The sequence below is a fragment of the Homo sapiens genome, chromosome 14 (assembly GCF_000001405.40).
Source record: "Homo sapiens chromosome 14, GRCh38.p14 Primary Assembly".
Taxonomy (NCBI): domain Eukaryota; kingdom Metazoa; phylum Chordata; class Mammalia; order Primates; family Hominidae; genus Homo; species Homo sapiens.
The window spans coordinates 80,231,100-80,259,052 of record NC_000014.9 but is presented as its reverse complement, the minus strand read 5'-3'; the positions used below and the strand labels follow the sequence as shown (position 1 = coordinate 80,259,052).

Genomic DNA, 27,953 nt, shown 5'->3' with positions numbered 1-27,953 from the left:
ATGATAATGAAAATCCTATTGTTAAAATTGTTATACAGCTAAAGTTATATTACAGGAAATTATCAACTTTAAAGAAGAAACACTCAAAATTAATCAAACATCTTAAACATTCAACTTGAAAAGTTAGAACAGCAAAATAGTTCTTAAAAAGTAGAAGGAAGATTATAACAGAAATTAATGACATAGAAAATGAAGAAGGATAATGAAATCACCAAAACCAGAGATTGGTTCTTTGAAAATAATAATAAATTAGATGAACCTCTGACAAGATTAATCACGAAAACTATGGTTCAAATTGCAAACAAACAATATTATAAATGAAAAAGGAGACAAAAGTTATGAAAATTAAGAAGATATTATAAATAGCTTATGAAAAAATATTTTAAAACCTAGGTAAAGTAAGTAAATTCTTAGAAAAATGCAACTTCTAAAAGTGACCCAAGAAGAATACAAGGGATGAAAAATAGTCATTAGGAAACTTGAATTAAAGATTAAAAATCTTTCCACAATGGAAGCACTAATATCAGACCAGTTTAATGGAAAGTTTTACTAAATTTTCAGTGAAAAGATAATTCTAAACATATGCTAACTCTTAAAGAGGAAAAACAATATCATTCTTTAGCTCATCTTGAGATTAATATTACCTTGATACTTAATACTAGACAAGTTTCATTAGTAAACATGAATACAAATGAAATTAGTATTAGTAAACATAATATCAAATGAAATTAAGTGATATATAAAAGAGATAATCATGACCACAGTGGGTTTATTTCAATGGTAATCTAATATCAATTAAATAAATTAAATTAATTTCTAATTTGAAATTAAGGAGAAAATCAAATTAATATCTAATTAATAAATAGGTTAAAAAGCATTTAGTGAAATTCTTATCTATTTAAAACAAAAACTCATAACTAATGGGGAATAAATTATACTTTCCTTAATCTAATGTAGAGATCTATAAAAATCCTACAGTAAGCATTATATTTAAATGTGAAATGTTGAATGTATTTCCTTTTATATAGCATGAAGCCAAGGATTGCTTACACAGAAAATTCTAACGATTCTATACACATTTTATTATAATTAATATGAATTATCAATATTGCCATATACAAAAGTCAGTATATTAAACTTTATTATTATGTATACTCATGTACCTACATCATAAAGTCTATGAGGATTAAAATTGATAATATATAAAGCACTTATTCCTTAGAACTCAAATAGTGGAATTGTTGTTGATATGAGTCAATTGCACTCTATACATCAGCAACAACCAGAAAATATAATTTTAAAATACTGTCTTAGCTAGGGTTCCCTCAGAGGCAGAGCCTGTAACAAAGGCTTTAGTGCAGTTAGGTAATTCAATAATGTGATTATAGGTAATAATTGTGAGGAATAGGGGGATAAGCAGGAAAGAAAAGAAAGCCAAGATAAATCTGTATTATTGATCTGGCCACAAAGCCTTCTAAAACCTATGGAAGGCCTCTCAGAAATGTCCTCCTGTGATAGGAAAGGAGGATGCATCTATCCATATGCTCTTGTTGCTCAGTGCTCAGGGATGAGACCCCACATGCTAACTCCCTTGCACTTCTAGGTTGCATAAAGATGAGTGTGGATGAGCTTCCATGAGTGTCTCTGACTGGGTGCAAAAGAGGCTCAGGAGCAGGCACTAAATGACATATTAGATTGGTGCAAAAGTAATTTCGGTTTTTGCCATTTAAAAGTAATACAATTAATAGTATATGAACACAGGTACGCTGTAAGGTTGCATAGAATAAAGCTGGACAAATTTGTTAGACAGGATCACAGCAGCAGAGCTGGAATAAGGGCTGAAGCCAAGAGTTTGTGAAATGATACATAAGAGGTATTTGATACAAATGTCCTATTTAAAACAGCAACAGCAAAAGAAATGAAAGTGAAGAAATCAAACAAAGGGTGTTTTAAATTTCTATGATAAAACATGTCAAGGTTATTGAAAAGCAGTATATCAAATAAACCAAAACATCTCAATAATGTTCTTGGATAGAAAGAAGAGTCCATGGTGTAAAGTTGTCAGTTTTCCTCACGCTGATCTATACATTACAAGGAATCCTCTACAAAATCTCCATAAGATATTTCTTGCATTGCATTGTTTTGCTTTTATGGAACTTGATAAATTGGTTCTAAAATGGATATGCCAGAACAAATGCACTAGGAACTAAATCCCACACTCCTAAAGAAAAAAACTGGTGTGTGTGTGTGTGTGTGTGTGTGAGAGAGAGAGAGAGAGAGAGAGAGAGAGAGTGAGTGAGTACATCTTGCTTGGCCACATGTCAAGACCAAAAAAGACTGTAACAAGAAAATATAATATACACAGCATACCTCAGAAATATTGTGGATTCAGTTCTAGACCACCACAATAAAGCAAATATTGGAATAATGCAAGTCACACAATTTTTTTAGATTCCCAGTGCATACAAAAATTATATTTACATTGTACTGTAGTCTATTAAGTGTGCAATAGCATTGTATTATATCTAAAAAAAGCAATGTACATACCTCAATTAAAAATACTTCATTGCTAAAAAATGATAACGATCATTTTTGAGCCTTCAGCAAGTCCTAATCTTTTTGCTGGTGGAGGGTCTTGCCTCAGTGTTGATGGCTGCTGACTGATCAAGGTGGTGATTGCTGAAGGTTGAGGTAGCGGTGGCAATTTCTTAAAATAAGACATTAATGAAGGTTGCCACATTGACTGACACTTTCATGAAAGATTTCTCTATAGCATGCAATGCTGTTTGATAGCACTTTACCCACAGTAGAACTTCTTTCAAAATAGAAGTCAATCCCCTCAAACCCTGCTGCTGTTTTAGCAACTAAGTTTATGTAATATCCCAGATCTTTTGTTGACATTTCAACAGTGTTTATAGCATCTTCACTGGGAGTAGATTGCATCTCACGAAGCCACTTTCTTTTCTTATCCATAGGAAACAACTTCTCATCCATTCAAGTTTTAGTATGAGATTGCAGCAATCCAGTCACATCTTCGGGCGCCACTTCTAACTCTAGTTCTCTTACTATTTCTGTCATATCCACAGTGACTTCCTTCACTGAAGTCTTGAACCCCTCAAAGTCTTCCATGAGGCTTAGAATCAACTTCTTCCAAACTCCTGTAATTGTTGACATTTTGACCTTCTCCCATGAATCACAAATGTTCTTAATCTAATCTAGAATGGTGAATCCTTTCTAGGAGATTTTCAATGTACTTTTTCCAGATCCATCTGAGGAATCAATACCTATGACAGTTACAGTCTTATGAAATGTATTTCTTAAGTAACAAGATTTGAAAGTCAAAGTTACTCCTTGATTTATGGGCTTATGGAATGGATGCTGTGTTAACAGGCATGGAAACAATATTAATCTTTTTGGACATTTCCATCAGAGCTTTTGGGTGACCAGGTGTATTGTGAATGAATAGTACTTTTTTGAAAGAAATCTTTTTTTCTGAACAGTAGGTCTCCACAGTGGGCTTAAAATATTTCAGTAAGTCATACTAGAAACAGATACACTGCCATCCAGGTTTTGTTCTTCCATTTAGAGAGTACAGGCAGAGTAGATTTAGTGTAATTCTTAAGAGCCCTAAGATTTTGGAATGGTAAAATGGTAAATGAGCATTGACTTCAATTTAAAGTCACCAAATACATTAGCCCCTAAAAGGAGAGTCAGCCTCTCCTTTGAAGTTTTAAAGCTAGGCATTGACTTATCTTCTCTAGTTATGAAAATTTGAGATAGCATCTTCTACTATAAGGCTTTTTATCTACATTGAAAATCTATTGTTTATTCTACACCTTTATCGATGATCTTACCTAGATCTTCTGGAAACTTGCTGCAGCTTCTACATCAGCACTTGTTGTTTCACCTTGCACTTTTATGTTATGGAAATGGCTTTTTTCCTTAAACCCCATGAACCAACCTCTACTACCTTCCCACTTTTCTTCTATAGCTTCCTCACCTCTCTCAGCCTACATAGTTATGGCTTTGCTCTGGGTTAGGCTTTGGCTAAAGGGAAGGTTGTGACTGCTTTGATCATCAATCCAAACCCTAAAACTTTCTCCATATCAGTAATCAGGCTGTTTCACTTTCTTTTCATTTGTGTGTTCACTGGAGCAGCACTTGTAATTTTCTTTAAGAACTTTTCCTTTGCATTCATAACTAGCCATTTGGTGCAAGAGGCCTAGCTTTTGGCCTATCTCATCTTTCATCATGGCTTTCTCACTAAGCTTAATCATTTCCAGCTTTTGATATAAAATGAGAGATATGTGACTCTTCCTTTCACCTGAACACTTAGAGGCCATTTTAGGGTTATTAATTGGCCTAATTTTAATATTCTTGTGTCTCAGGGAACAGAGAGGCCAGAGAAGAAGGAGAAATAAAGGGTGTGGGAAAGATGGTTGCTGTGTGGAGCAGTCAGAACACACAGAACATTTATTAATTAGGTTTGCCATCTTATGGGGGTGTAGTTTATGGTGCCTCAAAACAAAACAATTATAATAGAAACATCAAAGATCACTGATCACAAATGATCATAACGAAAATAATAATAATTTGAAAGGCTTAAAATATTGTTGGAATTACCAAAATGTGACACAGAGACTTGAAGTGAGCACATGCTGTTGAAAAAATGGTGCTGATAGACTTGCTGGAAGCACGATTGCCACAAACCTTCAATTTGTAAAATGCACAGTGTCTCTGAACACAATAGGTGAAGCACAATAAAACAAGGTATAACTGTATGCAGGGATAGATTCACTGACAAACAGAAAAGAGAGTCCCCACATAAACTCATGCATGGATGGAAACAATTCATTCAATGGTGAACCTTTATGTCAGTGATTATTATACGAAAATGATACAATGAATTGAATACCTATATTACACCTTATACCATAAATGTCAATTCTAGATGAAGTAAAGACAAATGTCAATGCAAAACTAGAGAAAACTTTAGGAGACAATAAAGAAGGATATATTAGTAACTCAGAGTAGAAAAATAATTCTTTAAAAAGTTACATAAAGTTAAACCATAAAGGAAAAAAGTTGATAAATGCTACAAAATTACCATTTAAGGAGGTTAAATTAACATTTAAAAATTTCATAAGGAATAAAAAAGACAAGACACATTCTAGAAGAAAATAATTACAAAATAAGCAACCAAAAAAGGATTAGTGTCTAGGTATCGATAAGAAAAAGATAATAACTCATTAGAGAAATGGACAAAAAAAATAAAGAGATCTGACATAGAAAATGAAAGACAGATGCTTTTTAAACATATGAAAGCATTGTATAAAGGGATTAACAGATTAAAATCACAATTAGGTACATTTCACACATACCAGATAAACAACTTTAAAAGTCTGAAAATACCAAGGGATGTCAATAACTTCAAGTACTGGAAGCTGTCATCCAAAACTGATGGGAAGGTAAATTGGCACAACCACTTTGGAAGTGTTTGGTGTTACCTAGTGAAGTTGAACTTGCTCTACAACCCCAAGAAACCCTTCCCTGTGCACTGGTAAGCACACAAAAGCATGTTTTTATTGGGGTTGTGCTTAACAGCAACTGCAAACAACTCAAATATGCATCAGTGGATTGATACATTGTGATATGCCCATACAAATAGAGTACTGTAGAGTAGTGAAAATAAGTAAGCCTATATTAGTCCATTCTCAGGCTGCTATGAAGAAATACCTGTGACTGGGTAATTTACAAAGGAAAGAGGTTTAATTGACTCACAGTTCCACATGGCTGGTGAGGCATCAGGAAACTTACAATCATGGTGGAAGGGGAAGCAAACATGTCCTGCTTCACATGGCGGCAGGAGAGAGAAGTGCTGAGCAAAGTGGAGAAATCCCCTTAAAAAACCATCAGATCTCATGAGAACTCACTCACTATCATGAAAGCAGCATGGGAGGTAACCACTCACATGATTCAGTTACCTCCAACCAAGTCCCACCCACAACATGTGGGAATTATGGGAACTACAGTTCAAGATGAGATTTGGATGGGGACACAGCCAAACCATATCAGACCCATTCCTACATGCATCATCATGGATAAACACAAAACTTCACATTGAGAAAATAAACATAAGCCAGAATAGCATATGAAGCATGATTAACTCATAAAGTTTAACACTAAACAATGTATTATTTAGGGAAACCCACTTAGGAGGTAAAACTATAAGAAAAACAAAAATATGGTTAATATGAATTCAAGATATTTCTGTCCCATAGGAGCTTCTAAAATACTGCTAATCCTTTATTTCTTAACTTTAGTGCTAAGTGCATGAGACTTTATTAGTGTTGTTTAAACTATTGAGTTATGTTTAATCTACCAATTTATTAAATTTCAACATAACAATAAAAGAGTTTCAGCAACAGGAAGTCCTCATGCATCACCTGTTGTAACTTTGGCTGTGTCTACCTTATAATCTGTTTCTTCACATTAAGGTGAAATATTCAGCACTTCTTTATCAGGACTATAAAATTTCATAGAAAATCTAATCCCTTTTACACATGAGAGCCTTTTAAGTACTCAAAGACAGTTGTCTTGTCTCCCTTTAGGTTTCTTCATTTCCAAGAATTAACCATCCTTAAATCATGGTTTCCAGACACCTCACCATTTTGGCAGCCTTCCCCTGGACCTGCAGCCAGAACCAAGCTCAACATTCCAGTTTGTTCTGGCCAGTGAAATGTCTGATGGGACTATTAACTTTCCTGTTCAAGACATTGCATTTATTGATATAGCCTAAAATTGACCTAAGTTTTTGCAGCCTTGTACACCGCATTAATTTATATTGGGCTCCTCATCATTTCAATCCTTTAAGTCTTTTTCACACAATGTATATCTCATCATAGACTTGTGAGGCTAATTTTTCTAAACTGTGTTTGGGACATTACATTTACTCCTAATGTTTTATCTTGGAATTTGGTTATAAGGTTTTAGCCTGTTGAGATATTTTCAGTCCTGATTCTGACATCTGATGTATTGACTTTTCTTCCTAGATTTGTATCAGCAGCAGATTTGCATTTATATGACTAACCAAACATTTCAAAACTACCTTGTATAAAGGGGTACGTTAGGTAATGTGTGTTCACCTCAATAGTTAGTAAAAATATTAAAATGGAGAGATCCAAAAGTTAAGATTTTTTTCCAGATAGATAGTCAATGCACTCATAATCAAATAAATTTGAAGTTTGATGTGAATTGGCACATATGTTTACATTCCATATTTCCTCAACATTTTCCTTTAAATTTTTCTGCACTTGGAGTAAATTGTTACATCTTTGGTAAGTTTGCAATAGCTAAATATATACCTTCAGCCTTGAGGGACTTTTCATTTCTGATTGACTCCTCTATTTTGCTACCTTGATCTCCACAAAGCTAAGCTATATGCAGGATTTTATTTTTGTCAAAATGTGCCCTTTGACCTTTATTGTTATCCATACTGATTCATGGCTTTAACATCATCTCAGACTTCCAGTCTTTACAAATTTGAAGTGGCTCTTCTTTAATTTAAAAAATCATATTGCTTCTTAGTATAGAAGAATGCAGACAACTGTTATTTTCTAAAAGAGAAAAAGTAAAAGTATAAAGATAAAAGCTAAAACAAAAATAAATAACCCCTAACCTCAACATCTGGAAGTGATTATTTTTTAAATTATTTATCCTTGCAGTCACTGTTCTGTGCCCTAGAGAAAGAAACCCAATTAGTATCGGCTTATCTGAATGAGCAAACTTTTTAACATTAATGTGAATGTGTATAGCTAAAATAATAATCATAAAACCAAATATCTATATAACCATCACCCTTGTCAAGAAATTGATTATTGCAATTCCTATAACCATCTTCTCTCGCCTGTTGAGACACTTCTATTGTGACTTAGGATGTTAAAGTTTTGTTTTGCTTATTTAAAAAATTAAATGAAATAATATAATACATATTTTCCATATCTGGAAGTTTCAGAGGAACGATCAGGCAGCAGCATTTGTGGTTCACCAATATCTGCTGTTCTGCAGCCACTGCTGCTGATACCCAGGCAAACAGGGTCTGGAGTGGACCTCCAGTAACTCCAACAGACCTGCAGCTGAGGGTCCTGACTGTTAGAAGGAAAACTAATAAACAGAAAGGACATCCGCACCAAAAACCCATCTGTACATCACCATCTTCAAAGACCAAAGGTAGATAAAACCACAAAGATGGGGAAAAAACAGAGCAGAAAAACCAGAAACACTAAAAATCAGAGCGCCTCTTCTCCTCCAAAGGAATGCAGCTCCTCACCAGCAACAGAACAAAGCTGGACAGAGAATGACTTTGACGAGCTGAGAGAAGGCTTCAGAAGATCAAACTACTCCAAGCTAAAGGAGGAAGTTCGAACCAATGGCAAAGAAGTTAAAAACCTTGAAAAAAAAATTAGACAAATGGCTAACTAGAATAACCAATGCAGAGAAGTCCTTAAAGAACCTGATGGAGCTGAAAACCATGGGACGAGAACTACGTGACGAATGCACAAGCCTCAGTAGCTGTTGCGATCAACTGGAAGAAAGGGTATCAGCGATGGAAGATGAAATGAATGAAATGACGTGAGAAGAGAAGTTTAGAGAAAAAAGAATAAAACGAAACAAACGAAGCCTCCAAGAAATATGGGACTATGTGAAAAGACCAAATCTACATCTGATTGGTGTATCTGAAAGCGACAGGGAGAATGGAACCAAGTTGGAAAACACTCTGCAGGATATTACCCAGGAGAACTTCCCCAATCTAGCAAGGCAGGCCAACATTCAGATTCAGGAAATACAGAGAACACCACAAAGATACTCCTCGAGAAGAGCAACTCCAAGACACATAATTGTCAGATTCACCAAAGTTGAAATGATGGAAAAAATGTTAAGGGCAGCCAGAGAGAAAGGTCGGGTTACCCACAAAGGGAAGCCCATCAGACTAACAGCTGATCTCTCAGCAGAAATTCTACAAGCCAGAAGAGAATGGGGGCCAATATTCAACATTCTTAAAGAAAAGAATTTTCAATCCAGAATTTCATATCCAGCCAAATTAAGCTTCATAAGTGAAGGAGAAATAAAATACTTTATAGACAAGCAAATGCTGAGAGATTTTGTCACCACCAGGCCTGCCCTAAAAGAGCTCCTGAAAGAAGCAATAAACATGGAAAGGAAAAACTGGCACCAGCCACTGCAAAAACATGCCAAATTGTAAAGACCATCAAGGCTAGGAAGAAACTGCATCAACTAACGAGCAAAATAACCAGCTAACATCATAATGACAGGATCAAATTCACACATAACAATACTAACCTTAAATGTAAATGGGCTAAATGCTCCAATTAAAAGACACAGACTGGCAAATTGGATAAAGAGTCAAGACCCATCAGTGTGATGTATTCAGGAAACCCATCTCACATGCAGAGACACACGTAGGCTCACAATAAAGGGATGGAGGAAGGTCTACTAAGCAAATGGAAAACAAAAAAAAGGCAGGGGTTGCAATCCTAGTCTCAGATAAAACAGACTTTAAACCAACAAAATCAAAAGAGACAAAGAAGGCCATTACATAATGGTAAAGGGATCAATTCAACAGGAAGAACTAACTATCCTAAATATATATGCACCCAATACTGGAGCACCCAGATTCGTAAAGCAAGTCCTTAGTGACCTACAAAGAGACTTAGACACCCACACAATAATAATGGGAGACTTTAACACCCCACTGTCAACATTACACAAATCAACGAGACAGAGAGTTAACAAGGATATCCAGGAATTGAACTCAGCTCTGCACCAAGCCGACCTAATAGACATCTACAGAACTCTCCACCCCAAATCAACAGAATATACATTCTTTTCAGCACCACACCACACCTATTCCAAAATTGACCACATAGTTGAGAGTAAAGCACTCCTCAGCAAATGTAAAAGAACAGAAATTATAACAAACTGTCTCTCAGACCACAGTGCAATCAAACTAGAACTCAGGACTAAGAAACTTCCTCCAAACTGCTCAACTACATGGAAACTGAACAACCTGCTCCTGAATAACTACTGGGTACATAACGAAATAAAGGCAGAAATAAAGATGTTCTTTGAAACCAACGAGAACAAAGACACAACATACCAGAATCTCTGGGACACATTCAAAGCAGTGTGTAGAGGGAAATTTATAGCACTAAATGCCCACAAGAGAAAGCAGGAAAGATCTAAAATTGACACCCTAACATCACAATTAAAAGAACTAGAGTAGCAAGAGCAAACACATTCAAAAGCTAGCAGAAGGCAAGAAATAACTAAGATCAGAGAAGAACTGAAGGAAATAGAGACACAAAAAAACCCTTTAAAAAAATCAATGAATCCAGGAGCTGTTTTTTTGAAAAGATCAACAAAATTGATAGCCCTCTAGCAAGACTAATAAAGAAGAAAAGAGAGAAGAATCAAATAGATGCAATAAAAAGTGACAAAGGAGATATCACCACTGATCCCACATAAATACAAACTACCATCAGAGAATACTATAAACACCTCTATGCAAATAAACTAGAAAACCTAGAAGAAATGGATAAATTCCTTGACACATACACTCTCCCAAGAGTAAACCAGGAAGAAGTTGAATCTCTGAATAGACCAATAACAGGCTCTGAAATTGAGGCAATAATTAACAGCTTACCAACCAAAAAATGTCCAGTAGCAGATGGATTCACAGCTGAATTCTAACAGAGGTACAAGGAGGATCTGGTACCATTCATTCTGAAACTATTCCAATCAATAGAAAAAGAGAGAATCCTCCCCAACTCATTTTATGAGGCCAGCATCATCCTGATACCAAAGCCTGGCAGAGACACAACCAAAAAAGAGAATTTTAGACCAATATCCTTGATGAACATTGAAGCAAAAATTCTCAATAAAATACTGGCAAACTGAATCCAGCAGCACATCAAAAAGCTTATCCACCATGATCAACTGGGCTTCATCCCTGGGATGCAAGACTGGTTCAACATACGCAAATCAAGAAATGTAATCCAGCATATAAACAGAACCAAAGACAAAAACCACATGATTATCTCAATAGATGCAGAAAAAGCCTTTGACAAAATTCAACAATGCTTCATGCTAAAAACTCTCAGTAAATTAGGTATTGATGGGACGTATCTCAAAATAATAAGAGCTATCTATGACAAACCCACAGCCAATATCATACTGAATAGACAAAAACTGGAAGCATTCCCTTTGAAAACTGGCACAAGACAGGGATGCCCTCTCTCAACACTCCTATTCAACATAGTGTTGGAAGTTCTGGCCAGGGCAATCAGGCAGGAGAAAGAAATAAAAGGTATTCAATTAGGAAAAGAGGAAGTCAAATTGTCCCTGTTTGCAGATGACATGATTGTATATCTAGAAAACCCCGTCGTCTCAGCCCAAAATCTCCTTAAGCTGATAAGCAACTTCAGCAAAGTCTCAGGATACAAAATCAATGTACAAAAATCACAAGCATTCTTATACACCAATAACATACAAACAGAGAGCCAAATCATGAGTGAACTCCCATTCACAATTGCTTCAAAGAGAATAAAATACCTAGGAATCCAACTTACAAGGGATGTGAAGGACCTCTTCAAGGAGAACAACAAACCACTACTCAATGAAATAAAAGAGGATACAAACAAATGGAAGAACATTCTATGCTCATGGGTAGGAAGAATCAATATCGTGAAAATGGCCATACTGCCCAAGGTAATTTATAGATTCAATGCCATCCCCATCAAGCTACCAATGACTTTCTTCACAGAATTGGAAAAAACTACTTTAAAGTTCATATGAAACCAAAAAAGAGCCTGCATTGCCAAGTCAATCCTAAGCCAAAAGAACAAAGCTGGAGGCATCACACTACCTGACTTCAAACTATACTACAAGCCTATGGTAACCCAAACAGCATGGTACTGGTACCAAAACAGAGATATAGACCAGTGGAACAGAACAGAGCCCTCAGAAATAATGCCACATATCTACAACTATCTGATCTTTGACAAACCTGAAAAGCAAGCAATGGGGAAAGGATTCCCTATTTAATAAATGGTGCTGGGAAAACAGGCTAGCCACATGTAGAAAGCTCAAACTGGATCCCTTCCTTACACCTTATACAAAGATTAATTCAAGATGGATTAAAGGCTTAAATGTTAGACCTAAAACCATAAAAACCCTAGAAGAAAACCTAGGCAGTACCATTCAGGACATAGGCATGGGCAAAGCCTTCATGTCTAAAACACCAAAAGCAATGGCAACAAAAGCCAAAATTGACAAATGGGATCTCATTAAACTAAAGAGCTTCTGCACAGCAAAAGAAACTACCATCAGAGTGAACAGGCAACCTACAGAATGGGAGAAAATTTTTGCCACCTACTCATCTGACAAAGGGGTAATATCCAGAATTTACAATGAACTCAAACAAATTTACAAGAAAAAAAGAAACAACCCCATCAAAAAGTGGGTGAAGGATATGAACAGACACTTCTCAAAAGAAGACATTTATGCAGCCAAAAAACACATGAAAAAATGCTCATCATCACTGGCCATCACAGAAATGCAAATTGAAACCACAATGAGACACCATCTCACACCAGTTAGAATGGTGATCATTAAAAAGTCAGGAAACAACAGGTGCTGGAGAGGATGTGGAGAAATAGGAACACTTTTATACTGTTGGTGGGACTGTAAACTAGTTCAACCATTGTGGAATTCAGTGTGGCGATTCCTCAGGGATCTAGAACTAGAAATACCATTTGACCCAGCCATCCCATTACTGGGTATATACCCAAAGGATTATAAATCATGCTGCTATAAAGACACATGCACACGTATGTTTATCACGGTGCTATTCACAATAGCAAAGACTTGGAACCAACCCAAATGTCCAACAATGATAGACTGGATTAAGAAAATGTGGCACATATACACCATGGAATACTATGCAGCCATAAAAAATGATGAGTTCATGTCCTTTGTAGGGACATGGATGAAGCTGGAAACCATAATTCTCAGCAAACTATGGCAAGGACGAAAAACCAAACACCGCATGTTCTCACTCATAGGTGGGAATTGAACAATAAGAACACATGGACACAGAAGGGGAACATCACACACTGGGGACTGTTGTGGGGTGGGGGAAGTTGGGAGGGATAGCATTAGGAGATATACCTAATGCTAAATGACGAGTTAATGGGTGCAGCACACCAACATGGCACATGTATACATATGTAACAAACTTGCACGTTGTGCACATGTACCCTAAAACTTAAAGTATAATAATAATAAAATTAAAAAAATGAAACAATATAATACATATTTTCCATATTTGGCAAATTCTTTTACTCTGCATTATTTTTCTGAGGTATAACCATATTATATGTGGGACAGTAGTTTATTTTCATTATTGCATAATAGTATATTGAATTAATATTCTACAAATGATTTATCCATTCTACTGATGTCAAGAATTTGTGTTGTTTCCCAGTTTTATGGGAAATAACACAAATTTATTGGATTATTACGAATGGTGCCACTGTGAACATTATTGTGTATATGTGCATATATTTCTTTTTGAACTATACCTAAAAATGAAATTGGTTAATAGGAAATGTGTACATTTAACTTTAGCATGCAATGTAGTTCTTCCAATGTCTATATTCAACTTTAGCATATAATATAGTCTTCCAACTTACGGCCCACCTAAGTTCTTCCAACTTAGGCCTCCCACATTTTCACCAATACTTAATATTATCATTCTTGCTATTTTAGCCACTCCAACTCTTATTGATATCTTTTTGTGATTTTGATTTTCATTTTTCCTGATGTGTTATAATCCTTGGCATCTTTTCACCTGGAGATCTTCTTTTATGTAATATCTATCTAAGTCTCTGAAAACATCTTCTCTCAGCCCATGGCTTCCCTTTTCACTCAAAATGTCTTTGATAATTAGACGTGTTTCTTTTTAATGTCTTCTCTTTTGCCACTAGTCTTTTATATGTACTGGTTAAGAAATTTTTGCCTACCTCAAAGTTCTGAAAATATTCCTCTGTAGTTTCTTTTGGAAGTCTCATTGTTTTATTTTTCACATTTAGATCTATCATATACATATAATTAATTTTGTGTATTATATGAGGGTATCTTCTTTTACATTATTTCTATCTAGATGACCCATCTAGATTGGTTATTGGAATGACCATCCCTTCTCCACTGCTTTGCAGTGATAGCTTTCTCATGAATCAAATATTTGTACATGCAAAGACGTTACTGGATTGCCTCCTAGGTCCTATTTGTCTAGGCATATATTCTGTTGGCAATAGCACGCTTTGTTAATTACTAGAGTGTTAAAAAACTCTTGACATCTCTGAAGTCTTTTAATTCTGTTTTTCTTCAGTGTTGTCTTGGCAAATTTTTGCCCATTTAATTTTTATTGTATGTTGGAATTAGCTTGTCAATATTTACCAAAACAAAAAACAAACAAACAAAAAATAACCCCACAAACATCTGAATTTGACTGTGAAGGATTTGAATTAAAAAATCAATTTGGGGAGAATGGACACAGTTATTGTATATTTATGACATATTAATATATTTTATTTCTGTGATTATTTAGATCAGGGGTCAACAAACTATAGTCTATAGGATAAATATGTATCCTCTGCCTGTTTTTGAAAAAAAGTTTTATGGGAGCACAGTCACACCTATTGGTTTACACATTGTCTATTTCTGTGTTGGCATTATAATGCAGAATTGGGCAGTTATGATATAGACCAGCTAGCTACAAAGGCTAAAATACTTATTACTTGATCCTTACAGAAAAAGTTGGCTGGACCCTGATTTGGATGCTTATTTCTTTCCATAATGTGTTATATTGTTCTGAATAGAGATGCTTTACATGTTTTCTTAGATTAATTCCTAGAAATGTAATATATTTGGATACTATTGTAGATGATATCATTTAAAATTTCATTTTTTGTTTGTCGATGTATAAAAAAACTACTGATTTTTGCATATCGACCTTGTATCCAGTCTGTAAGTTCTTTTTGATTTTCTATGTGTGAATTCTATCAGTCTGTATTTCTTCCTTGCTACTTCTCATACATTTTATTAAATTGTGACAGAGTCAAACTAAAGTAGCAACCGAACTGTCACCCAGCTCAATTAATAATTAGTTCAAAAATAGCCAGCCATTCATCCCACCTGCTTAATAGAGGACAAGGGATGCTCTTTATGAAGGAACATAACATTTACTCCAGTCTCTATTGTTCTTTCTGGCATAAATAAAACAATGATGAGACATATGAAAAAGGTGAAAAATATGATCCATAATTAAAGATAACTATATAGACCAGTCCCCAGATGATCCAGATGCTGGAATTAGCAGCAAAGACTATAAAATGAATATAAAATTTGTTAAGGAAAGCAGAAAAATGACAATATTGATAAAAAGATGGCAATTTCAACAGATAAATACAATCTATAAAAAATTTTCAAGTGAATATTATGGATCTGAAAAGAAAAGCAATAACTAATTTAAGAACTCATGGGAATGGTTTAACATTAGATTGTACATCCTAGATAACATTGAGGAACTCAAAGTCAAGTGAATATAAATTACCAAAACATAGAAAAATATGAATGAATGAAGAATTCAATAGACTAGAAATATGATGGCGGTCTGAGAAGATTATAATATAGCACTATCACTGTATCTTTTCTATGTTTAGATACAAAAATACTATTGTATTACAATGGCCTGCAGTACTCAGCACAGTAAAATGCTATACAAGTTTGTAGGCTAGGAGCAATAGGCTACACCATATAGCCTAAGTGTGCAATAGGCTATTGTACACTTTCCATTTAGGTTTGCAGAAATATACTCTATGATGTTTACACAATGATGAAATTACCTAATAATGAAATTTTCAAAACATATATTCCCTTTGTTAAGTGTTGCATGACAGTATATATAAGTAAAGTCCCAGGAAGAAAGGAGAAAGAGAATGAGACTTAAGCAACAATTGAAGAGATAATAGGCAAGAGATGTGAGAGGTTCAGCAAACTCCACACAAGATAAATATAAAGAAAAATTATGAAAATCAGACATTGAGAAAATCCTAAATGAAACATAAGGGAAAAAATAAAAAAAAATTTTAAATCACATTCTGTTCCCTTCACTTAGTGAGACCATTAGGCTCTATTTTGGTTCCCCTTTCTTTACTACAGCTTTGAAATTGCCTCTAAACACAAGCTGGTAAAAGCATAAGGTTTACCTTGCTTATTTGTTTTCTTGTTATCCAGGATTATAGCCCTACATTGCCTGTTACTCAGGGTCCGAAAATCAATTTTCATATATATATTTTTTGCTTTCCATTTGTTTATGGTACGATGGTAAATCTGGTTCCTATTTCTGTATCTTGGGTAGAAACAGAAGTTGTTATTGTTTCCTCTTCATATATACTTCTTGAGCTCATAAGCTATGGCATTTTCATTAGGTTTAGAGTTTTCTTAGCTGATTATTTGTCCCCTTATTCTAAGAGTCCAGGTGTGTCAGACCTTGTTAGTGTGTCTTTTAAGTGTTTTGTTATTTTACTTTTTTGTATTTTTTGTGCTTTTAATATATGCTTATCCTGAACACTCTCTCCCCATCTACTTGTCTTCCAAATCACTAATTCTCTCTTCAGCTTCTCTGAGATATAGGGAAAAAAAAGCATTGAGAAATAAAGAAAAAAAGTATTTAGAATACTTTTGTGGCCTCTGGTCACCAAAATTTGTGGGGATTTCTCCCTACCAGCAACCAATTGATTCTGTAGTAGATTCTTCAGCAGACAATAGCTGGTATACTCTTATTCAACTCAATTCTTACACTATCTACCTGTAGATAGCATCAGATCCCATAGGTTGAGGACTCAATCCCACAAGACCTCCCCCGCTGCAGGTGCTAGTTGCAAATAGTAGGTTGTAACCTGGGCATCTGATGACCAGCTATAAATTGGGGGTTCCCATGACCTCCTTCTCTGGGAAACACTTTATTTACATTTAAACCAGTTTATTATAAAGGATATTACAAAGATGAACAGCCAGATGGAAGAGGTGCATAGGGCAAGGCACATGAGAAGGAGTGTGGAGTTCCTATACCCTCTCTGAATACCCATCCCCCAGGAACTTCCATGTGTTCCACTGTTTCAAAGCTCATCTGAAGCAAGTTACTTTAGGTTTTGATGAAGGCTTCATTACATATGGATGGTTGATTACATCACTGGGCATTAGTGATAAACTCAACCTTTAGCCCCTTTTTCCTCTCCAGAGGTTAGGGGTGGGTCTGAATGTTCCAAGCTTTTAATCACATGGTGAGTTGCCCCTGGCAACCAGCCCCTATCCTGAGGCTATCCAGAAGCCCACCAAGAATTGCTTCATTAGAAGAAAAGATTCTCCTATCACCCAGGATATTCCAAGGGATTGGAAGGAGCGCTGTGTTGGGAACCAAGGGGCAAAGGCCAAATGTTATAACAGAAGATTCTCCTAGCACCCTGGTCTACAAGGGTATCAGGAGCTATCTCTCAGGAACCAGAACAGAGACCACACATTAGAAGAAATAATTCTAGCACTCCTATTGCTTAGGACATTATAAGAGTTTTAGGAACTCTGTGCCAAGTACTTTGGACAGAGACCATTATATATATTTTTTATTATTTCACAATTGTAACTTAATCTGAATATAGTATTTAGATTAATACAAATTTGTTCTTAAATTTATCCATTGGATTCTTAATTTTGATTATTGTATTTTTGATTTTGGAATTTTGATCTGATTCACTTCTTTTGTGATTCCTGAGAGTTTTTTAGGAAAATATTTCCAATCTTGATATATTTCCTTGAAAATATTTGGCATAGTTTTCAACAAGTCCACTATCTAGTTAGCTGATTCAACATTTAGTTTTGATAACTTTATTATCTTGATATTTGATTGCTTTGTTTCTATTAACTAATTTCTCTCTTTCTTTCTCTCTTTCTCTTCTCCTCCCTTTCCCTCTCTCTCTCCTCTCTCTCTCTCTTTTGCTGTCTGTCTTGTCACAATTTTTGTCTCTGTTTTGTGTCTGTTTATTTTTGGTTGAGCACAAGATATTGTATATAAACAATTCTAGAGATAATAAACTAAGATAATGTTATTTTTCTTCAGTGAAGCTTTACTTTTGCATCTGACAAGTGGCTGGGAGCACAAACAATTGGGATAAACTTAATCTAATTTCAGGGCTTGAGATTATTGAACTTTCTTCATTTTTTGAGGGTTGGTATATTACTGAGTTATCTTTGTTCTTAAGGTACAGCTTTTTGGGTTCCTAATATAAAGCACTGGAATCTTGGATTTCAAGTTTTGTCTTTCTACCTTACAAGTTGTTCAAAAGCACTTCTTAGGTTCTGAGCTGCTTAGCTACTCTTCCAGGATCTATGCACCCTCTTACATTTGAAGTTGCCCCAAATGCTAGATTTGTCTCTCTCTGCCCTTTTCTCCTACATTTTTGGTTTATAATTTTTTTACAGCCTCCTTTTTTCTCATAGCTTCAAGTTATCTTGTAAAAATTATTTTGTCTAACTTTTCTATTTGTTTTCAGTGGGAAGATTTGCTTGAATTACCTATTTTGCAAATATTACTAAGCAGATTTTAAAAATAACTATTATGTAAGGCTGGGCGCGGTGGCTCATGCCTGTAATCCCAGCACTTTGGGAGGCCTAGGCGGGCGGATCACAAGGTCAGGAGATTGAGACCATCCTGGCTAACATGGTGAAACCCTGTCTGTACTAAAAATGCAAAAATTAGCTGGGCGTGGTGGCGGGTGCCTGTAGTCCCAGCTACTTGGGAGGCTGAGGCAGGAGAATGGCGTGAACCCAGGAGGTGGAGCTTGCAGTGAGCTGAGATCACGCCACTGCACTCCTGCCTGGGTGGCAGAGGGAGACTCCATCTCAAAAAATAAATAAATACATAAATAAAAACTATTGTGTTAAATTGAAATTTGGATGCTTGTAACGGAAAACTCAAATCAGATACTTAAGTAAGAGAGACTTGTATTTTTTTCACATTAAAGAAGTCTAGAAATAACCCATTCAATGCATGCTTAGCATTTCTGTGGTCATTATGGACCTAGGACATTTTTATATTTCTTCTCTACGAGGCTTAGCATGTGGTTTCCATTCTCAAGTTGTCACAGGGTCTGAAGTGGCTGTCAGAACTCTATCCATATTTGAAGCACAAATAAAAGAATGAGAAAAAGAAAATCTACCAGTTTTCTGTCTTTTAGAGGGGTGTTCTCTGAAGTTCCACTCAAGAAATTTTGCTTTTTTTTTTTTCTATTAACCGAAACGTAGTCTCATGATCATCTAGCTGTTAAAGGAAGTGGGGAAATGTACTGTTATCTGGGAAGTAGCTTCAAAAAGAATTGGGGTTATGTTGTTAAGGGTAAAGTAGAATATATTAGACAAGCAAATTGTAATCCCTGGTGTAGCTTCCCAGTATGCAGTCATGTGATGTTATAGAATTTATTTGTTGTTGCACATTGATGGTTTTTTCTAACATTTTCATTAACATAAGCACATTGTGAGGAACTTGATTATGTAACATTGTCCATATGTAAATGTTCTTATGTCCTACTTTAAAACATCTTTATATTATACCTTAGGCATTGTTTTATGACATTGAACATTATTCAAAAAATCTATGACTGCAAATTATTTCTTTATATGTGTAGACTATAAGTTACTGTATTATTGTTTATTGTTGGACATGTAGTTTGCATCCATTATTTTGCTACTACAAGTATAGTACTATAAACAACATTTCCCCTACACTTTTTTACATCTCTAATTATTTCCTAGGATAATTTTAAAAGTAGAAGTATTTGTTCATAGATATTAACACTTTTGACCTGGCCATCTTTGGGGGCTGTTATTCAACCTACTGCAATATTTATACCAATTGAAACTCCCACTAACAATATGGTGGAATTGCTCTTAATGTGCTTTCACCAGGACTAAACTCTGCCTTTAAAACAAACAATTTTAGTAATTTTGTAAGTGAAAAATAATCTCATTGATTTAATTCATATTTAAAAATTTGTGTTCATATGTTTTGGTAATATATTTCTTTGGTGAATTATCTATTCCTGTCTCTTGTCTACTTTTCTATTGGATTACTAGATCTTTTCTTTGCTAATTCAAATAACTCTATATAAAAATTATATTTACCCTCCATCTGCAGTAAATGTGTTAGAGATTTTCCCCAGCTCACTTTTTGATTTTCAATGTAGTTGATAATAGTTTGTGTGTAGATATGAGCTTAATCGTAATATACTTAAACCTATAGATTTTCCTTTGTGGTTTCTTGTGTTATATGCTGTAATTATCTTTCCTCCAAAACAGATCAGTTAAATATTCACCTGTCTTTTCTTGGAGGGTTTTTTTTTCATGATTTCATGCATTTTTAAGTAAAAACATATTTCTTTCTCATGTGAGAATTTGAGTTAACACATTATCCTTAAGATGAGGACTCTACAGAGGGCAAAGTCCAGACTGCATATCTCTAATGCCAAGTACAATGTGATATGGTTTGGCTGTGTCCCCACCCAAATCTTATCTTGAATTGTAGCTCTTATAACCCATGTGTTGTGGGAGGGACCCAGTGGGAGATAATTGAATCATGGGGGGGTGATTTCCCTCATACTTTTTTAGTGGTAGTACATAAGTCTCACAAGATCTATCTGATGGTTTTATAAGGGGCTTCCCCTTTCACTTGGCTCTTATTCTCTCTTGCCTGCTGCCATGTAGGACATGCATTTCACCTTTTGACATGATTGTGAGGCCTCCCCAACCACATGGAACTGTGAGTCCATTAAACCTTTTTTTTTTTAAATAAATTACCCAGTCTTGAGTATGTCTTTATCAACAGCATGAAAACAAACTAATACAATAAGCTGGTACTGATAGAGTGGGGCACTGCTGTAAAGATACCTGAAAATGTGGTAGCGACATTGGAACTGGGTAACAGGCAGAGGTTGGAACAGTTTAGAGGGCTCAGAAGAAGACAGGAAAATGTGGGAAACTTTGGAACTTCTTAGAGACTTGTTGATTGGCTTTGATTAAAGTGCTGATCATAATATGGACAATGAAATCCAGGCTAAGGTTGTCTCAGATGGAGATAAGGAACTTGTTGGGAACTGGAGTAAAAGTAGCTCTTGCTATGTTTTAACAAAGAGACTGGCCACATTTTGCTCCTGCCCTAGAGATTTGTGAAATTTTGAACTTGAGGAAGAAGATTTAGGGTATCTGGCAGAAGAAATTTCTAAGCAGCAAAGTATTCAAGAGGTGACTTGGGTGCTAATAAAAGCATTCAGTTTTAAAAGGGAAACAGAGCCTAAAAGTTTGGAAGATTTGCAGCCTGATGATATGATAGAAAAGAAAAACCCATTCTGAGGAGAAATTCAAGTCAGCTACAGAAAGTTGCATAAGTAACAAGGAGTCAAATGTTAATCACCACGAAAATGGGGAAAAATGTCTCCAGGGCATATCAGAGGTTTTCACGGTAGCTCCTCCCATCACAGGCCCAGAGGCCCAGGAGGAAAAAATGGTTTCATGTGCTGGGCCCAGGGTTCTCATGCTGTGTGCTGCATAGGGACTTGGTGACCTGCATCCCGGATACTCTAACCATGGCTCAAAAGGGATAAAGTATAGCTTGGGCTGTGACTTCAGAGGATGCAAGCCCAAGCCTTGGCAGCTTTCATGTGATGTTGAACCTGAGGTTACACAGAAGTCAAGAATTGAGGTTTGGGAAGGCTGGGCATGGTGGCTCATGCCTGTAACCCCAGCATTTTGGGATGCTGAAGTGGGTGCATCAACTGAGATCAGGAGCTTGAGACCAGCCTGACCAACATGGAGAAACCCTGTCTCTACTAAAAATACAAAAAATTAGCTGGGTGTGGTGGTGCATGCCTGTAATCCCAGCTACTTGGGAGGCTGAGGTGGGAGAATCACTTGAACCTGGGAGGTGGAGGTTGCAGTGAGATGAGATCCCACCATTGCACTCCAGCCTGGGCAACAAGAGCAAAACTCCATCTGAAAAAAAAGAAAAAAGAATTGAGGTTTGGGAACCCCTGCCTAGATTTCAGAGGATGTATGTCCAGGCAGAAGTCTACTGCAGGGGCAGAGGCCTCAGGGAGAACCTGAGGGAAACATGGGGTTGAAGCTCCCACACTGTGTCCCCAATGGGGAACTGACTAGTGGAGCTGTGAGAAGAGGGCCACTATTCTCCAGACCCCAGAATGGTAGATCCACTGACAGCTTGCATGGTGCACCTGGAAAAACTGCAGACATTCAACACCAGCCCATGAAAACAGCCAGGATAAAGGCTATACCCTGCAAAGCTACAGGGTGGAGCTGCTCAAGACCATGGGAACCCACCTCTGGCATCAGCATGACCTGGATATGAGACATGGAGTCAAAGGAGAACATTCTGGAGCTTTAATATTTGACTGCCCCACTGGATTTCAGACTTGCATGGGGCCTTTAACCCCTTCATTTTGGCCAATTTCTTCCATTTGGAATGGGTGTTTTTATCCAATGCCTGTACCCCCATTGTATCTAGGAAGTAACTAACTTGCTTTTGATTTTACAGACTGATAGGCAGAAGGGACTTGCCTTGTCTCAGATGATATTTTGGAATGTGGACTTTTTAGGTCATGCTGAAATGAGTTAAGACTTGGGGGACTGTTGGGAGTGCATGACTGGTTTTGAAATGTGAGGACATGAGATTTGTGAGGGGCCAGGGATGGAATGATATGGTTTGGCTGTATCCCCACCCAAATGTCACCTTAAATTGTAGCTCCCATAATCCCCATGTGTCATGGGAGGGAACTGGTGGGAGATAATTGAATCATGGGGGCAGTTTCCCCCATACTGTTCTCATGGTAGTGAATAAGTCTCATGAGATCTGATGGTTTTATAAGAGTGTATTAGTCTGTTTTCACACTCCTGATAAAGACATACCTGAGACTAGGCAATTCACAAAAGAAAGAGGTTTATTGGACTTACGGTTCCACATGCCTGGAGAGGTCTCACGATTATGGTGAAAGTCGAGGAGGAGCAAGTCACATCTTACATGGATGGCAGTAGGCAAAAAGAGAGAACTTGTGCAGGGGAATTCCTCTTTTTAAATCATCAGATGTCGTGAGATTTATTCATTATCATGAGAACAGCATGGGAAAGACTTGTCCCATGATGCAATTACCACCGACCAGTTCCCTTCCACAACACATGGGAATTCAAGATGAGATTTGGGTGGGGACACAGCCAAACCTATCAAATGGGTTTACTGTTTCACTTGGCTCTCATTCTCTCTTGCGTCCCTGCATGTAAGTTGTGCCTTTTGCCTTCCACCATGATTATGAGGCCTCCCCAGCCAAGTGGAACTGTGAGTCCATGAAACCTCTTTTTCTTTATAAATTACCCAGTCTTGGGTATGTCTTTATCCGCAGCATGAAAAGGGACTAATACACAATGCTTGGTCTAACAAATACATAATACGTGCATTGACATGAATATGTACAGAATTAAGCTGTCTTTGTGTATTTATTTCTCCAAATGCTCTGTATCTGTGTCATTGATTTTCCCAAGATCCTGTGTATTTGTTGAGTGTGGGCCTAAATCCTCATGGTGTCTTCCTTTGACAATTAATATAGTCATTCTAGTGTTAAAAATTTTCCTGGCAGAGTCTACATAAGTAACTTTCTTGCCAGTGACTTTGTGGTAAAACAAGTTGGGAAGTTTGGGGAAAATCAGAGAGAGATGAGAGTGTTGAACAGGGTGCACAGCCTTTTCTGTTTTCCCTATGGCGGATTTATGCTGATGCTAATGAAGCTAATCTTCAAGCCCTTCACTTTTAATGTATTTACATAGTCATATATTTTTGCAAAATTTAGAAAAGTGAGGCATTTTAACCACAACTGATTGAAACAACTGTCTTTTTACATCCTGACTTTTGCACCTTCATACTTTTTGTGTTCGGTGGAGTTGAAGAGCAGCAATTTTAGTAGAAATACATTTAGTTTAGATTTAATGGTATATGTGTGATTTGCAGTCATAGCGAATATGTTGCTATCTGTCCGAGCATGGGGATACTTCTAGGCATACCGTCTTCTGTGAGAAATCGCCTGGTATTGTGACAGCATGGTACAGAACAAGAGGACTAAGAAATGTGGTTGTGGAGGAAAAATAAGGTTAAAAATGTATTAAAGCAGAAGCTCATTACTTGAAAATCCAGACTTACAGCTCTCATATGAAAGAAAATGTACCACCCATAATAAAATTTTACATTGCCTTTAATGGGTTGTAAAGTTGAAATAAAATCTTCTAAACAGCCAATAAGAAGGAACATTATTCCTATTTGCAGATTTACAGAAAAGACTATTATCTTTTTGCTCTTTCTATAGAAGATTACATGACAATATTATTGTATTATGAAGAGGTGATTGGAGAAAATACAGTCACAGAATGTAAGAAATGTATAGGTAATGAATTTTAAAATATTGTGCAATTTTTTTCTGGGCTTTGTGATGTTTGTGGTACTTCTCAGGATTTTAAAATTTGTAATTTGTTGCAAGCTTTTTTCACGTTCTGAATAACTATAGACTTTTTACCTAATTTTTGTATTTATAAATGTGTAATACCTTTTTTCTTAAAGAGGGCCCCCAAATTATAGAAGCTTCAGGCCTCAAAAAACCTGGATTTTTCCCCCATGTTCTTCCATATCCTACCTTATTCACTAAGAATCATTGGTAGAGGAATCCCAATTTGTCAACCAAAGTCCTCAGATCTGTGAAGTCAACAAAACTCAGAGTGCCTGAGATTTTTGTGCTCAGTAAGAGTAGTGCTCCTCACTTACTTTTGAGCAGGATGGGAAGAGGAGGAGTGATACTAGCATTGCGGCAGGTGAAACTGCTTGCCTGAGCCTTGCAATGACAAAGATTGCCTGCCTCTAAGTCTGGGACAGTCTCATCAATCAACCTGTGCTTGAACTATTAGCACTGTCAGCTTCCACTTAAGAGATGATAATTCAAGGGTAGCTTTCCTCATCCACTGAAACTCCCTCCATCAAAAGAACAAAACCCTTAATCAGAAGGAGGGGCAGGAGTGCCTATCTCTGGCAAAAAGAACAGGCCCTGTCTACTTTCAGTCTACACTTCTTGAACTCAATTTTGCATGACTCTGAAAAAGATCCTCAGTAGAAGCCCTTGACTTGCTGGTACAGGAGTTCAGGCAGGGTTCATGTCCTTTGCTTTGGAAGGGAGTGGTTGTGATGCCAGGAACAGGAAGGTTCCAATATTGCCGGTATGATGATGTCTGATTGAAAAGAATAATCATGAACACATGCCCATATTTTTTTTTGCACATGCATTTTCTTTGTGGGATGGGCAGAAATGAATTGCTGGCTGAATGTACCAGAAATGAAAGCCAGTTGTTAAGCTTTGCTCTCACTTGGTAACAGGTGGAAAGACTGTAATGTGTTTCTGGGAGTTATGAGAATTATTTAGATCTGAAAGCAGGGTTGTAATTTTTTGACCATAAAATAAATGGAATAGACATCTAGAGAGTATCATGTAACCCCTGATATTATTAAAAATATCAAGCATTTACATCATTTGAAGAAAAATCACAGTGCAAGTGGACACTTCATAGAGTCCCAGCAACTAGAATGGTTGTCATTTCTACAAAGATTCACAGAAATTTATGCTACTGATGAATAATTTTTTTAAAATTTGGGTGCTTATATAGTTTTAAAAATTATTTTGAAAACAAAGGCCTGGAAATCTGCTTCCTAACTTTCCATTTCTCTTAAAGGTTATGATATCTTATTGCAATGGGGAGCCCCATGACCAATATCACTGAGTTTCATCGCTGTAGAAAGAACAGAGATTTCTCTTTTGGGGTGAAAACAGGGGAAAGGCATCTCAGTTGGCCTCTTTTAAGTCCTTTTCTCCTTACCTCCACTCCTAGATCATCCAGGGAATTAAAACTCTGCCTGTTGGCCACTTAAATTAATGAAATTGCTTGTGTCTAATACAGAAACATTGCCTCTGTGTGCTCTAGATACATATATGAATAGAACTTCTGTGAATGCCTCCCTGTCCTGGGCATCATGGTAATCTATGTAAATCACAGATTGGCTTTAAAATTCTCATCACCAGAAACCCACAGTGAGAAGGGTTGAAGGGATGTAAAAGATGAACAGGCTATCCTTTGGCCACAAAATTGGCTGATTGAAAATAAACTCCCAATTATTCTTTTAAAAAAGCCTGTCTTTCATGTGAAGGGGTGTCCTTGTTGGCCTGCTTTACAACTTTATTATTTTCTTTAAAGCAAGACCAATGTAAAAGAGAGTTTAGTCCTCTGCTTTTTTTTTTCTTAACTTATCCCATTTCAGCCAATTTATTGTACTGATTAGTATTAATATGCGTTCTAAATGACAGGGATAATTTTGTTTGCCAGGGGACATCTGACAATATTGAAGACATTTTTGATTGTCGTAACTGGGTCGGGGATGGGGTGGTGCTACTGGCCTCTAGTGAAGACAGACCAGGGATGCTACTAGACATTCTACAATGTACAAGACAGCCTCGAATTATCCAACCCAATATGTCAATAGTGCTTAGTTAGAGAAACCTGGCCAAAAATAGTGTACATAAAGTAGAAAGAATGAAATCTTTTTGACGATGATATGTTGAAAAAGTTTTACAGGCAATTGAAAATGCATCCTTTCTAACGTGAGCTCCCAGGTCTCTTGTGTCATTGTTAGTTATGACTACATCAACTGGCTTGAGTAAAACAGGTTCTGATTTTGGACTCTTATCTTTTATTGTTACTTAAGAAGGAGAAATGGGTTGGGATGGACAGCCTCACCTCTATTGGCTGTCGTAGGATGGAGTAATGCAGTTGCTGTTTTACAGTAGTCAGTCAGTTGGTATAAAATCTGCCAGGCATGTGAAAGTATCTGTAATTTTTATAACTTTTGTAAATAGGCTAGAGATCATGGTGTCCCCTGCATTTGTTCTTACGCAAAAGTCTTGTTTACTCTCACTTAGGAAACATTTGTTTCAATTTGTTACATAACCTTATAGATTAAATTCTAAATATAGAAGTCACAGATGATATTATTTAATAATTTCTTGAGAGTTTGGATGACTAAAAGCAACTTCATGGGCTTGCTAGGAATGCATCTGGAATATATAACCACTCATAATAGAAGGATTTTGATGAAATTAACCTAATTGTTCTTTAAGTTAAAGATCCAATATTAATCTTAAATCACACAACACATCCACCTCATTCAACATATATCTTAGTCTCTCTGTTATACTCATGTCTTGAAAAAAATCAGTTAATTCAAATCTTGGGACCATTCCTCAGTTTCACAACTATAGTGGGATATTAGAGGAATACTAGAAACATGATTTTAATGCCAGAAATTGGTCTTGTAAGAAAGAGGCTAAATGAAGGAGCGTAATTCAGCCTATGGAATGTAACAGTGATATGAAATCACTTAGAATATGGAGGCCTATTGGAAAGGGCAAAAACAAAGCTAATATCTACTTCTGAAGGAGGCAGGGCAAAAGGACATGGATGATTTATTAATTAGAAGGAACATTTCTTGAGAGTGAGGTGGTCAAATATTGTAGTATGTGATGGTTAATACTGAGTGTCAACTTGACTGGATTGACAGATGCAAAGTATTGTTCCTGGGTGTGTCTGTGAGGGTGTTACCAAAGGAGATTAACATTCCAGTCAGTGGGCTGGGGAAGGGAGACCCACCCTTAATCTGGTGAGCACAATCTAAT

General features: G+C 36.4%; 1 long non-coding RNA gene across 1 annotated transcript in view; it reads right to left on the bottom strand.

The window, feature by feature from the left end:
• Positions 1 to 27,953, bottom strand: part of DIO2-AS1 (DIO2 antisense RNA 1) — a 244,049-nt gene that overhangs the window by 196,415 nt on the left and 19,681 nt on the right. The window lies entirely within an intron of this gene.